Genomic DNA, 15,243 nt, shown 5'->3' with positions numbered 1-15,243 from the left:
TCAAGAATGTTCTTTTAAAACTAATTATCAGAGAACTCGCCTTGGACAAGAGAATGGTTTCCATGGCAGCACAGACAAGGAAGTGGGTCCTGGGAGAGTTAAAACAGTTATTTGCTCCTCTGAGGCTTCAGGGTATCGACACATATCATTCTTACAGACTTGCTTCTTGGAAACACTAGGGAGAACTCTTGCTTTCTGTAGTAATTGGTGTATAGATTTTAAGGGAGCAGCAATGCAATAATGCTTCTATGCACACTGTAGGTGATGCCCTTAATAAAGAAGATATTTTCTCCCTGTCTTCTACATTGTTAGAGGATCAGCTTGTATTTTAAACATTTGGGTTAATTACACTAATGCCCATGAATAAAAGTGGGGGATGCTTTTGAAGTTACTCACAAACAGACTTGGAGCCCGCTTGTCTTGTTTATTCTAAAATATATCCCCTGTACATGCTATGAATCAGTCTCCGCACCAATACCTGCTTTAAGGACATCAAAGCCTCACGGTATGCAAAACTATCATTCCAGTGCTCGAGAAGGGCAGAAATGTACCAAGGGCATATAAGAGGCCTGTGGGGATTCATTGGGATGGGATCAATGGTGTAATGCGTGGGCATGTGCACAGGATCATATACTATTGAAACAGTGGTGCTTGGAACTGACATTACTTGTAATGCTATGCATTGATAGGATACTAAATATGTGGATACATTTTATTGTTTACACTTAGTAATATGCTAAAGTCAAAAGACAGCAGAACATTTAACCTTATCTATGAGAGTTTAATTCACAAGCCATAGGCAACAATAATCTACTGTTCCTAAGGGGCCAAGAAAATATTTCTGTTGACTCTGACTCCTCCAAATTTGCTCAGATATATACTAACGTTTGTGGTGGGGCAGCTTCGATCTTCTGATTCAAATCAATGATTTTTTTTTCTTCTGTGAAGCTTTTTGTTTATGCTGTTCCCCCACTTGATAGAATCAATTCCACTGTAACTGGAATAGAATTCTTCACACTTCAGCCTCCTCCAACTACAGCTTGTAATCCTTGGCGAACAGGAATTATATCTTATCCTTTTTTTAATTCCTGGCCTAACCATAGAGCTGAATCCGTAAAGTAAACTTCCCAAGGGTTTGCTAAACAAATGATTAAATAAACAAAAAAATGAAGAAAAGGCTAGATGTGAGGATGCTCTGGAGTAAAATCAATCAATAAATACTAACAATACATTTTTTGTTTTCTGATGGTTCTGGTGGGAAGTCCATTCTTTCCATCCATGAGACTGAAGTGAATGTAGTGCGGTCTATGCAAGAATATGGATGTGGTAGCAAGAGCCGGCAGAGCTCTGGTGAGATGAAAGAAAGCAAGGAGCTGTCTGCAGTAAATTCTTAATAACCAAGAATTAGGGGATGACAGACAGATCATCAGAAAAGATTAGCTAAGACAGCAACAGACAGTTACATCAGGACAGGAGAGTAGAGTTAGAACTGGGTCAGAAGATGACAGCTCTCTTACAATACATAATTGAAAGAAAAACCTAGCCCCTCTGCCTGGTAAACTGGATCCAAATGCCTACATTAAGAATAATTAAGGGTATATATGACACATTGCTATGCATTTAGTCATAGACACCACGATGATTGTACTAACAATAAGGTATTTGTAAACAGCTATTTCACTTTTTGTACTTAAATGTATAGTGCAAATATTTTAATCATAACCACCTTTCTAGAATGTTTGAATCAAGTTTTTTTCTTGTAATCTCCTTTGGCATTAGTCCACCTTTGATTTTAAAAATAACAGTTCAAATAGATTTAAACTTTGTCCAGGATAAGTGTCTCTGGTGGAAGCTCCACAGATCTCCAAGGGTAGCATTATTCTACTGCATTCAACCATAGTCCACAGTTCTACAGGTCCCAGCTTTGAAGGTCCATGCATTTGGTCTTGCCAGGGAATGCGTCAGACCTAATCAAATACTGAGATATGGAATCATGTAGATCAAAAAGCACAAGAAACTAACAATATATAACCAATATGCCCATATTTATGTATAATTAACAGTAGCCTGGGACCACATTCTAATTTCCATAAGTGGCCTGTTTTACCTATGTCAAAATGCTGTGTTAACCAGATTATAATAAGACAGTTTCTTGGCAGAAATGGACTTAGAACTATGGAATTCAGTTATTTGATTTAATTATTTAATGTCATTACATTTTATGAAGACTGCATTGCATATAGTGTTTAAAAGTGCTGGCTCATGTTTGCGAAGGGAATATATTGGACGGTTAAGGGTACAGGATCTGGAGCCAGTCTGACTTGATGATGCAAAGCCCAGCTTCACTGCCTAATAGCTGTGCAAACTTGCACAAGATATCTGGCATTTCAGTTGCTTTGGTTGTATAACAAATACTCCAAAACATCATGGTGTAAAATGACTATGCTTATGATTCTATGTGCCAGACATTTGGACAAGGCCGAGCGGGGATGGCATGTCTCTGTTTCACCCTTTCTGGACATCAGTTGGATGACTTGGAGGCTAGGGGTTAGATTTATCTTCAGCTGACTCACTCACTCACAATTGATGCTGTTGCCTGAGAACTGAGCTAGGACTGTTTGCTGGAACACCTACACATGGCCTCTGGCCTAGATTCCTTACAATGTGGTGGCAGGTTCCAAGGGTGAATGCCCTCAAAGAGAGGGCCAGGCAGAAGCTGTATGCTTTCTATTATATAAGCCAGCCTGGGAAGTCACTTAGCATCATTTCTAGCATCCTCGATTAGCTGGAAAAGCCATAGGTCTACCCAGGTTCAAAGGAAGGAGAAATAGACTGTACCTTTGGATAGGGAGTGATAAAGTTCTGGAAAAAACATCGAGACTGAAAATATTGCTGTGGCCATTTTTGGAAAATACAGTTTACCTCAACTGATATCTCTCGGCCTTGTCTTTCTTACCTGTGACATGCGGATAATAATATAAAGTCTCAGATCATTGCTACAAGGATAAATTCAGTAAATACTGCATTCCTAGCACAGCTCCTGACTATAGTAAGCACTCCCTAATATTAGCTTTTACTCTTTTTCTAATTCTCATTTTTGTCATCAAGCTAATGTAACACAGTATAACTAATACTAGAGTGGAAGTGGAATGGTTTCCAGAACTGAGACGGTTGAGGCTTTGGGTCTGGAGGAATGTTTCCTGTTGATAGGCACCGGCTATGTTAGTGTCCCTGACTTTATTTCATTTTTGCTTCCATTGCTTATCAACTTCTTTTAAAGTGGCATATTCTTTTTAGGGAGAGGAGGGTTGTTAATATCTTACATTCAGTTACAATACAGATTTACTATCCTGGGTAATTTTCTTTCTTCTGAAGGTGACTGTGTAAGTCTCAGTTGTTATTTATTATATGTGGAATTTATAACTTAACAGGCAAGTTCAGCCTTATTTCTAATTTCCTTGCTGTATATCACAAAGTGAAACAGAAATATGATATAGGCTTTATATTTTTTATATTTTTATATTTTTATATAAAATATAAAAATTTTATATTTTTATATAAAATATAAAAATTTTATATTTTTATATAAAATATAAAAATTTTATATTTTTATATTTTATATTTTTACATTTTTTTCCCAAAAAGAACCAGTTTTCTGATTGGAAGTCCCTAGTCCCCATTTACCCAGTGAGAGATGAGAAGAAGGAAAAATAAACTGAAAGTGGAGAAAATTGAGGAAAAGTCCAAGTGGAATCTATGGCTTAAAGAACAAGAAAAGTCAAGTGGGGGGGGTGGGGAGTAGAACTACTATTTGTGTATTTTGAATACTCAACCTGTCTCCATTTTTCAGCATTTTTGCTGACAGAGAAGGAAGCCAAGCCTTTCCTTAGCAATGGTTCTTCCACACTTTGGGGATCATGGGCTAACTAAATAACCCAAGAAAAATGCTGTGTACAGTTTAATGAGGTTCACATACCTTCTGAAAGTCAATGATTCACCCAAAATAAAGAATTCTTGTTAAACCTGGACAATATGGTTATCTTTAGAATAGTTTTTAATACAAAAACATATGGTATGATTTCTCTTTATATACTTAAAAGAGTATATATACACTTAAAAGTGTGTATATATATATATACACCTCTCAAGTAGTACAGTATCAAATAGTATAATGAATGTGCCATATTATAATGGTGGTTATATTGCCAATCAGTTACTTCATAGAAGTTGAAAAATAAAATGTGTGGTTCCAAAGGGCACAATATATATATTTCTGAATTAATATTATGTGCATACATGCATTTATTCATTTACTGAAAACGTGTGCACCTGCTTATGTTAGATCTTCGCAGTGCAACATCTCTTAGGGCGAACAAAATGATGGTCTCATCCCTCATGGAACCTACAATCTAGATTTTGTTCAGTCCTTATAAGCATAATCTTTATTTTATAATAAAATATTGGGAAAAGAAGCTGTAATATCCCCGAAGTATCAAGGCTTAAAGAAAAATTTGTGATAATAAAGAACAAACCATCACCAAGTAAAATATTTTCCTTAATAAACTCTAGACAATATGGAAACTATTAACAAACATTCATTACATCTCTTCTCTTCAGCAAGCTATCTTCCTAATGTTTTACCATCTTAATAAGTATTAATAATTGGAATTGAGTAAAAAACAATAAATCTGTCTTTGAGAAAGTGTTATATGTACTTAGGCCTTTTGAGTGAATGTAATAGTATGGAAAATAAAAGAAGTGAAAAAAAAGAAGAATTCTACATTCCAGTTATCCTTTTATGAGCTATTTCCCTTGCACATATTTCCACCAATAATTATCATTCCCCATTTGTGTCATTTACATTTAACAATATTATTGGTTAAAGTTAAACAAGTCAAAGTTGTGAGGTGGACTCTCAATTAAACTTAAACATTTTCAGTGTCGAATGAATACTATTATTTAAAATTAATAAAACTTAAACTTCATTATACATCTGAAGGTCACTGACTTTCAGGAATAAGTAGTGAATTGATACATCCTTCATATATTCATTACTGGAAAATGATAATGTAAAATATTGTGACTGATGTAACGTTTTGAAGATTTACTGGCATAACTACACAATTTGCTTTTTTGGCATATATTCTAATTGCGATATATAAAGTGGAAGAACTGGTATCATTCAGAAATTGAACATGTATGCATTTAGAAATAAAACTGCATATTAAACATTGAGCAAAGTATATATTATAAAATATTTCCCCAATTAAGTTCCATTAAATTGGTAAAATGCAAATCCCGGAACTCTGTATCACTCCTCTCAAATTAAATGTTTGTAGTAGCCACCTAGAAATGGAAAGAAAAGCACCTGAGAAGTAGGATGTCTCAGATATCAGAGTTGTGCTTAGATTTAATCAAAAAAACAAATGAACAAAAAATTCAAAATGATGCCTATTCCTTTCTAAAGTAGAACATTTATCAATGTTACAAGTTAATCACTTCAGGATTGGATTTTAATATTAATGTCAAAATCTTAAATTAGTATAGCTATCTTTTGAAAAGAATCTCCACCAAAGGAAAATATTAATAGAACTTTGTCCTCGTAACAAAAAATAATTCAATGTGATTTTAGGCAAGTTTATAGATAGAAATTTCTGAAGTTTTAAATTATTGTGACAGAATTAAGACAAGGGCATTTAAAATGATTCTCAGTTGGTCATTTTGGCTTTTTGAAGAATAGCTATGACATAATATTTATCATTAGGGATCAATATGGATACCAGCCTTTCATGAGAAATATGTTTGTTGACTTTAATAAATCTTCAAGTGTGTAAATACAGAAATATTTGTACAGGCAATTTTCTGCTGAATTACATTTCCTCTATACACATTCTCGCATGGCAACATATTTTTTAACAACTTATACTAAGGGTTTGTTGTGATGGCAATTTTCACAAAGAAACAATTTTAATTGCTTCACAATGGTTATTTCTGTATCTAGTTATTGAATCATCATTATCGTCATCATGATTAATCTGCATTTATATGTTTTGACAACTTATTTTGCTATTATAAATAACATTGTAATGAATAAAGCATTTTGCTTAGGATAGATTCCCAAAAGAGAAATTACTGGATTAACAGGTTTGAAAATATTTAGAGCTATTGATAAATACCATATTTTTTAAGCAGTCAGAGTAAGTTTTCTGTGCAAGAAATGTAAAAAAAAAAAATCAGAAACTAAACTCAGTTCAGGCATTTAATTTAAAATTATAGATAGCCCCCAATTTGCCAATGAATAGTGATGCAAAGTTATTTTCTAAAGAGTTTATATTAGATTTGACATATATTTATTTAGTCATGGAGGAGGACATTATAAAGTTCTCAACTGCTCATACTAGCAGATTTAACTTTTATTTAAACATAACTAAAATATATTAATTATAAACAATGATGCTGGGTGCTTCTAAATTTTGCATTCCCTATTCTTTGTCTTTTACTCTTTCCTCATCTATGTTTTTAATGTTTTCTGTGGGTACCAACATTCTGAACTTCATGGAGATGAAATTCTAAGCTACAAGGTACCATCTACTCATTTAAGCACAGGGGCTAGAGAAAAGTATAAGAGGACAGGAAACTGTGAAAGTGCTCCTGGGATGCTGATTAAAGGGTCCCAGGACTGGGCACCTTTCAAGGCATGATAGAGGGAAGTTCAGGAAAAAGGCAGTGAAAAGAGGTGAATTAAAAGTCAGACTAACTCTGATGAATCACACATTAATGTTAAAAAAAAACCTGCATCAAAAAAGAATATTATTAAATCAACAAAGGATATTGGTATCAGGAGAAACATTTTTTGGTTATTTTGTTATTTTTCTACTATACATAATAGAGCATGTTTAGATAATTTAAAAGATGTAAAAATTCAAACAAATCCAAATGATTTTAATTGCGTTTATATATATATACACACAATTCAATTATATTTTTTTACCTTCTAGAAAATAATAGCTGATTCACTTGAAGAAAATCTGCGTTTAGCTCAAGAGTATCAACAGCTACAGATTACATTCTTAAAAGAAAAGGACAATTATTTCAATATATATGATAAACAGCTATCACTTGATACTTCAATTAGAGATAAGAAACAGGTATTGGTTTTTCTAATTGTTTTAAGGTGATGATTTATGTCATATATGCACTACAAAAGTAAAAAGTAGTCAGTTTGGGTGCCTCTGATCTGACGATGATATCCACAACATGGCCTATTTTCTCTGTGTAGTTTTGTTGTATATTTATATCAACCTTTTAAAATTGAATTTTGAAAGAATATTGGAGAAATGAAAAACTTAGTTTCTAATCCACTATTCTATAGTAATTTGATTTTGATTAATATGATGAGAAATGCCAATTTTTTATCTGTAGATTTAAATATATTATCATAGTCTTTATATTTCAATTCTAAGAGTGGGTGATTTCCCATGGCAGGCCTCTAAATTGTCCTTTTAGTATAGAGGCTCCAAATTCTGGTAACTATTTTCTTATTAGATATGGAGATTAATTGGAAACTTGGAAAAATAGCTGACTTTCTCTAATTACTGAAAATCATTGGGAATTCTAAATATATTTTATAAAATCTTCTGTAATGGTAAGTGGAAAGGTAAAGCACACAATATGCTATGAATCAGAAAGGAAGAAAAAGTTCTATTACTAGAGTGTTATAATACAGCCACTTCCTTTATATTCTCCAGATACTTAGTAACAATAAAAAATATTTTCCTTAAATATTTGTTTTCCCCCAGGATTCAAATTTCAGAAAATACAGTCATTATTTTTTAATAATTAACCTAACCATGAAAACCAAATTGATCCTTTCTCCTACTGGTATCACCCATATTGTTGCATTATAAATCAGTAGTTTAGAATAGCAGTGCTATACTTACGGCTATTATGGAATGTTGGGAAGGCAAAAGGTGGGATTTTAATGCAAGTTCTACTAGCTCCGTGAGCTTGGCAAGTTGCCTTTTCCAACCTCAGTTTTCTCATCTATAAAATAAGATTTACCTCACAGAGTACTTTGTAAGTAATAAAAAAGAGCCATTCATAATAAGTTACTTTAAAATTTAAGGGATGCTATACGACTGTAAGTAATTATTACATTCATCTGGCATCCCCCTATGTACTTCCCTATTTGCCATCCGTCTACTCTCATGAGAGTTAAAGCTTCTGAATACATTGGGAAAGAGAAGAATGCATTTTTCTCTTAAAATCTTGAAATGATAGCAAGATGAAGATACATCAAGGTACAAGTGTTTGGGAGGCTAAGGTGGGAAGATCACCTGAAGTCAGGAGTTTGAGACCAGCCTGGCCAACATGGTGAAACCCTGCCTCCACTAAAAATACAAAAATTAGCCGAATGTGGTGGCATGCCCCTGAAGTCCCAGTTACTCAGGAGGCTGAGGCAAAAGAACGACTTGAGCCCAGGATGCGGACATGGCAGTGAGCCAAGAATGCACCACTGCACTCCAGCATGGGCAACAGAGTGAGACTCCGTCTCAAAAAAAAAAAAAAAAAAAAAAAAAAAAAAGAATGAAATAAGTGTGTTTGGGAAAGAATTGATAATACAACTATCTGCCAAAATCTTAGTGTCCTCAAACCATTTTGCAGGACTCAAAGAAAGGGCATGTATGTATCTATGAAGAATTTGTCCAATCACTTCACGCATTTGACATTGTTATTTGAAATTAAATATGTTCTATTTGTTGTTCATAATTGAGAAGCAGAAAATAATCATTGACTATACTGTATTTCCTTTTCTAATCGGGGGGGAGCAAAAATAAATTATATGTGCAGTTATCTGCAGTTATCAGTTTATAAAGAATCACTTGGTGGCAAATGACAAATACATTCGATACATGCATAAATAGTGGAGACCCCATGCTTTTTAAGAGAAAGCCCTAACATCACATTTTCATAGTAAGAGCAAAATTATCTTGATCTCATTTTGGAATTAAAGCAAATCTTGATGCAAGATACAAGGACTGAGACTATAGTAGGAACAGACAGTGGAGATTGCTGGGAGATTGGGTTTATGTTTGTGATCCCTCAAACGAATCACTTTTAGCACACCTGTTTCAGGGAAACTTTCAAGATTTATTTGTACTTCCAATCATTTTTCATTTTCATCCTTCAGCGATGGAGGTCATTAAGTGCAGGCTGCCCTTGTCAGTGTCATGTAGGATCAATTTGCTGCAATGGACAGAGAGGCCTTATTGATGCTGTTAAATCTGTCAGTGAGAAATCGTATGTCATTAGCGTCTAATGCACTGCTTACAGGATGGAATTTGGCCAACAAAAATGGAAAACTCTTTAATATTTTAGTCCATTTCCTTGATATTGCAGCATTTCCCATGTATGCAGGTTTTAGTTCTTTGGCCAGTTTAGTTTGGGTACACAAAAGCACTATTCAGTCTCTGATTCCCTTGTTGAATTCCCTTGACAGATATAATGGATCTCACTTTTAGGAATTTTGTGCATCTTTTTCCTGTTTTAGACTAATTTCATTACTTCTGAACATGAATTCCTTTTGGCATAGTAAATAATTATATTTTAATTATTGTGCTTCTTAGGGACTATTATTCTCTCTATACAAAGTATACATTTTCATACTTCTTTGTATTCTTATGCCAAGAGTAATAAAGAAAACCTAATGAAAGAGTGAAACAAATGGAAAATAATGTCCCCTTACTTGACACAATCTTATATACACGTCTCAAATGTTAGAATGCTATAGTATTTCTCTTACTGTTAATATTTTGTCTGCTTTATTTGCTTGTGTTATCTTTGATACTTTCCTGTACTTTTAAAATTTGTAGCAATGGGTATTCTTGCCTTTAAAAATCAGAAAGAGGCAAAAGCAATTATGCAAAATTCTTATTTGCCCTGTTCATGGGTAATGATAGAAAATAATCCAATCTAAGACTTCTCAGATGTCAAAATTAAAACACTAGAAATACATGAAGGAAAATCTCTGAAAAACAGATTATACTTCCGTGTGAATATAGACATTTTTGTTAGAAGCTTTCAAATACTTTTTATAAAAATATGTCATTTTTAATATTTTATCTTTAAAGTTAAAAAAAGTCCATGGGTATTTTGATGAAGTCACCATGTATTTGTTTTAATTGCCACCCCAGATTCTTTGTGCCTGCACAGAAAGGTAAGTTAAGCAAGCACGCAGATATTGAAGTGATCTGTTGGTTGAAAACAAGATGGCTTCCAAAATGTGTTAAAATATATTTTTTAAATTATATAATTAGCCATTTGTAAAGCTTTACCCTTCCTTACTACAAATCTCAGTGCTTTCAAACTAAGGGAATGAAAATTATTACAGAGTCAGCCAACACGTAACAAATACTTGTGTGGACAAAGTATTTGTGCTATATTGTTTGCAAATGTTATCTTTTAGTGTCTCTCAATAATCCTGGGGAATTTGCTATTACTGTTATCATCTCTCCCAATGTAAGATATAGAACTAACATTGAGTGTCACACAAGATTGCTCAAGTAGAGGGAGATGCTGGGATGGGAATCAAATTCAGGTTTTTCTTATATCTAATCTATTTCAGAATTATAATACTACCACTTTACTATAGCATTAATTAAACAGTCCTATACATGGCTAATCAGGTTATGTAAAGCTTTGAAAAAAACATGTAAATTATATATGATATCTCTAGTGCTCAACTGAAATAGATTATTTGATTCACTAGTTGTTTTTGTAATTTTATTTCATTGGAGCCACTTTTTCAGTAATTTTCTGGGGAAAGGGCCACCTGTTTATTTGGAGGAGATTTAATTTTCATAGGGATTTTAGGTAGGTTTCATAATTCTAAATTGTAAAACTTTCTAACTAGAAGTGCCTTTAGAAATATTGCCCTCCTCTTTAAAAAATAATTTTACAGAGGAAGAATCTTAGGGAGGCCAGAGTGGCTTAGTGATTTAACACATTACACAATTAAGTAGAAGAAATGTTGTCCTAGAACTTAGTTTTCTTTACTCATGTTCAAATGTTCTTTCCAATAAACTGCAGATAAGCATATGCTATGATTTTTGTGGTAGGTTTGACTGGACCAATAGCTGAGATGTAAGCATCTCTTTTAAATGATTTGGGCCTGTGAAGGAATTACAGAGACAAGAATTAGAGGACTACTCTGCAGCAGTGTGTTGGCCTCTAGGGAATACTTCTGATCCTCATAGAACACTTGTAATTCATTCATTCAATTATTCAAAATATATTATTAATCACCAATTGTTCTATATACCAGCAATGAGCAATTGGAATGTGAAATTTAAAACACAATGCCATTTATATTAACACACACACAAATAAAGTGAATTTAACAAAATATGTATAAGATCTATATGATGAGGAGCACAAAATGAATGAAAGAAATAAATCAAAGAAGATCTAAATAGATGGAGAGATATTCCATATTCATGGATAGGAAGACTCAATATTGTTAAGATATCCATTATTTCCAACTTGATATATAGAGTCAATACAATCCCAATAAAAATCCCAACATATTTTGTGAATATCAATCAATTCTAAATTTTATATGAAATATAAAAAGACACAAAATAACCAGCAAAATATTGAAGAATAAAGTCAGAGGATTAACACTACCCAACTTCAAGATTTACTATAAAGCTGACAAAGATACTATAGAAGACATAGAAATGTGCCACCTTATCTCTGCTTCCATGCTAAAGGTTGTGATCTCGAGTCCAGGAGATTCTTTCCTAGACTATAATGTAGAATCAGAACTCTCCAGCATCCTTTCTTCACCCCACCAAGAGAAGAATTGTGTATTTTTGCTATTTAACCTACCTTGCCTAGGTCTCATTGGACAACATTTCTATATTAAATTCTCAAAGAATTGTATCATCTATAGATTATATAAGTTTTCTCATCAACTTTCAACCACAGTTTTCTTTAATACTCACTTTGTATCGATGTGCTTAGGAGTCAATATCAGTTCTAGCAATAAACAATTAATTATTTTCCTAGAGAAATGTGAAAGCTGTTTGATTCTCATTTTTATAAGTATTTAGTATTGCTTGTTGTCCTGCACACCATATAACTGTGCTTTGATAGTGAATTCTGTCTGCTTGTTTAATGTAGATAGAAATTCACTTCTTTCATAGCAAAACCATAAAATAATAATTTTCCCTGTAACAGCTATTTGAAGACCCTATCAGTGTCTCTGCTTCCATTTCTTAGAACACAGGCATGTGGACATGCAAACACACACACACACACACACACACACACACACACACAAATGGCTTTGGCCCCTGTTTCTTAGAAAACACACACACACATACACACACACACACTTGTTCTAAAGGCATTATCACACTTTATAGACTGATAAGTTTGCATTAAATTTATACTGTCCCATTTCTCTGAAGAGTTTTCCTCACGAGACCTGTGAAGAGCTTTGGGGATGCCCGAGACAGGAGTACACAGCTGATAGACTATTGTTTTATCTCAGTGAATCTACCTTTTGTTGTCCAAACTCCATGAGGAAAATACTAAGACTGGGAGTTTATTGCTGGCCAATATTTTAAAGAAGTAAACTTGGCTTAAATCAAACCAATTATTCAGTCCAATACCAGTTTTGAGGGTATTTTCAATTTATGTATCTTTCATGCAGTTTTGAGATTTTATTCTGGTAGAGTGGCATAGCAATGAACATTTTGTTTTTAATATTAGCCACACCTTAAGAGTGATTTATTGAGTGTGATGATGGACTCTAGTATATCAAAAATATTTAAGATAAAATTTTCGTGTGTGTGTGTGTGTGTGTGTGTCAACCAATGGCTATTTTGTTGTGTGTGTGTGTGTGTGTGTGTGTGTGTGTGTGTGTGTGTGTGTCAACCAATAGCTATTTTGTTCCCAAAGGAATATCTGGATATCCTGCAGTGTCCGGAGACATTTTTGGTTGCCTCTGGCATCTAGAAGGCAGAAGCCAAGAATAAGGATGTTGCTAATCATCCTACAATGCACAGGACAGTCCCTCTCCCCTTCACACACACCAAAATTCTCCAGCCCAAATGTCAATAGAGCTGAGGTTAATAAACCTTGATATACAGAGAGACAGAATTTACATGTCATATATATGTAATGTGCATGCGTATGTGTATATACATATATATAACATGACACACTGTGTACTATATCCCCTTCTTAGAGATTTAAACTGCATTTGTATATTTAAAATTCTGAGAAATTCAATATTAAGAAATCTGTTAACTCTGTTAACCCTGAATTTTCTATTGTCCCTGGAATTCTTTCTTCTCAGGAAAACTATTTACTACTGATTGACTTGGTGTTTAGTAGATTAAACCTTGGAAAATATTATTCTCTCTCTCTCTCTCTTTCTCGCTATATATATATATGTGTGTGTGTGTGTGTGTGTATATATATTTATATATGTATATATACATACATGTATATATGTACATATATATAAAACATAAGAGAATAAGAGGCAACTATGTCACAAACTCTACTTTCATGATATTCTGCTGATATATAGCTTTAATAAAAAATAAGTATTATTTATATTACCTATAAAGCTATAGAATAATTTGGAATATTTTCAAATAAATATGTTCTTTGGGAATCCACAGGTATCCAGAATGCTGACTTTCTTTGATACTGTAGTAGAGCAATAAAATGAAATAGTATTGTTTTTATCACTTAAAACCTATGTTTAAAAAATTACAATAAAACAAGTAAATATTTTTGTATACACCTTTTATGATAGGTATATTTTCTAATTATCTAATACATGACTTATAACTGCAATTGATTTTCAATTCTGTGGGATTATCTGTTAATGATTTTTTCATTTTGAGCTGTGCATATGCATCTCAATGACATAAACATTTGGAAAAACTCATTTTTAATCTTTTCACAAATCTACAGAGCTACATCTTATAATCATTTATTAAAATAAATATTAATATGGAAAATGTATATTTATATGCTAAATATTTTCTTTAGTCATTTCTTTTTTCTTCAAAATTTAACCGTCATTGAAGGTAAAATGGAAAACCTATAGACAGCTTATTTAATCCCATGAACCTCTGATAATAAGGAATATGAATATCTCCCTAGCAGGATGGTTGTATAAAACAATATACTAATAATTACTATTTATGAAGCACTAATATGTGCTAGGCACTTTGTTAGTTTTTATATGTAATCTTATTTCATTCTCTGAACAACTCCATGAAGCATAAAAATACGTTTTATTTTTTATTTATTTATTTTTTTGAGACGGAATCTCTCTCTGTCGCCCAGGCTGGAGTGCAGTGGCGCGATCTCGGCTCACTGCAAGCTCCGCCTCCCAGGTTCACGCCATTTTCCTGCCTCAGCCTCCCGAGTAGCTGGGACTACAGGCGCCCGCCACCACACCTGGCTAATTTTTTGTATTTTTAGTAGAAACGGGGTTTCACCGTGTTAGCCAGGATGGTCTCGATCCCCTGACCTCGTGATCCGCCCGCCTCGGCCTCCCAAAGTGCCGGGATTACAGGCGTGAGCCACCGTACCCGGCCCCAAAAATACGTTTTAAATATAAAGCACCTAGAACAGTTTTTTACAAACTATATTTTGCATATAGAAGATATGGCTACTAATATTTCTATTATTTAGATAAATATGTGTCCTTCATTTCTTGTATCAAATTGTAGTGTGATTATATGATTATAACATGATCCTCTACTCTATAATAGGTATTAAACAGTGTATGCAACCTGAGAATATGGGATGAATTATGGGTAGAGAGGACAGAAGTGTAAGTAGTAGAGACATTATGATAATCCATTAGAAAAACATGCAGAGGCCCTAAGGAATGAAGGAATAGCACCATGGTAAGACATCTAATGCCCAGGTAAAACTGACAGAGGATGATACGGTAGAAAATCATGTATGTATACATGTATAAGACCAGGCATGAGGGATAGACTCAGCAATGACACATGAATTGGAGAAATTAATCCAAATCTTTCTTTCTTTTTTTTTTTTTTGAGACGGGGCCTCGCACTGTTGCCCAGGCTGGAGTGCAGTGGCGCAATCTCGGCTCACTGCAACCTCCTCCTCTGGGTTCAAGCAATTCTCCTGCCTCAGCCTCCTGAGTAGCTGGGATTACAGGTGCACACCACCCCGCCCAGC

General features: G+C 33.8%; 1 protein-coding gene across 8 annotated transcripts in view; it reads left to right on the top strand.

The window, feature by feature from the left end:
• CCDC178 (coiled-coil domain containing 178) overlaps positions 1-15,243 on the top strand; it is a 503,635-nt gene that overhangs the window by 341,132 nt on the left and 147,260 nt on the right. For 7 of the 8 annotated variants that reach the window (NM_001371120.1, NM_198995.3, NM_001308126.3 and 4 more), the window contains one exon: positions 6,999-7,148. The exons of the other annotated variant lie outside the window; for it this stretch is intronic. In NM_001371120.1, coding sequence (NP_001358049.1) covers positions 6,999-7,148 — 150 coding nt within the window. The remainder of the gene's footprint in view (positions 1-6,998; positions 7,149-15,243) is intronic. 8 annotated transcript variants of the gene reach the window in all.

The sequence above is a fragment of the Homo sapiens genome, chromosome 18 (assembly GCF_000001405.40).
Source record: "Homo sapiens chromosome 18, GRCh38.p14 Primary Assembly".
Taxonomy (NCBI): domain Eukaryota; kingdom Metazoa; phylum Chordata; class Mammalia; order Primates; family Hominidae; genus Homo; species Homo sapiens.
This window is presented reverse-complemented; position numbering and strand designations above follow the sequence as displayed.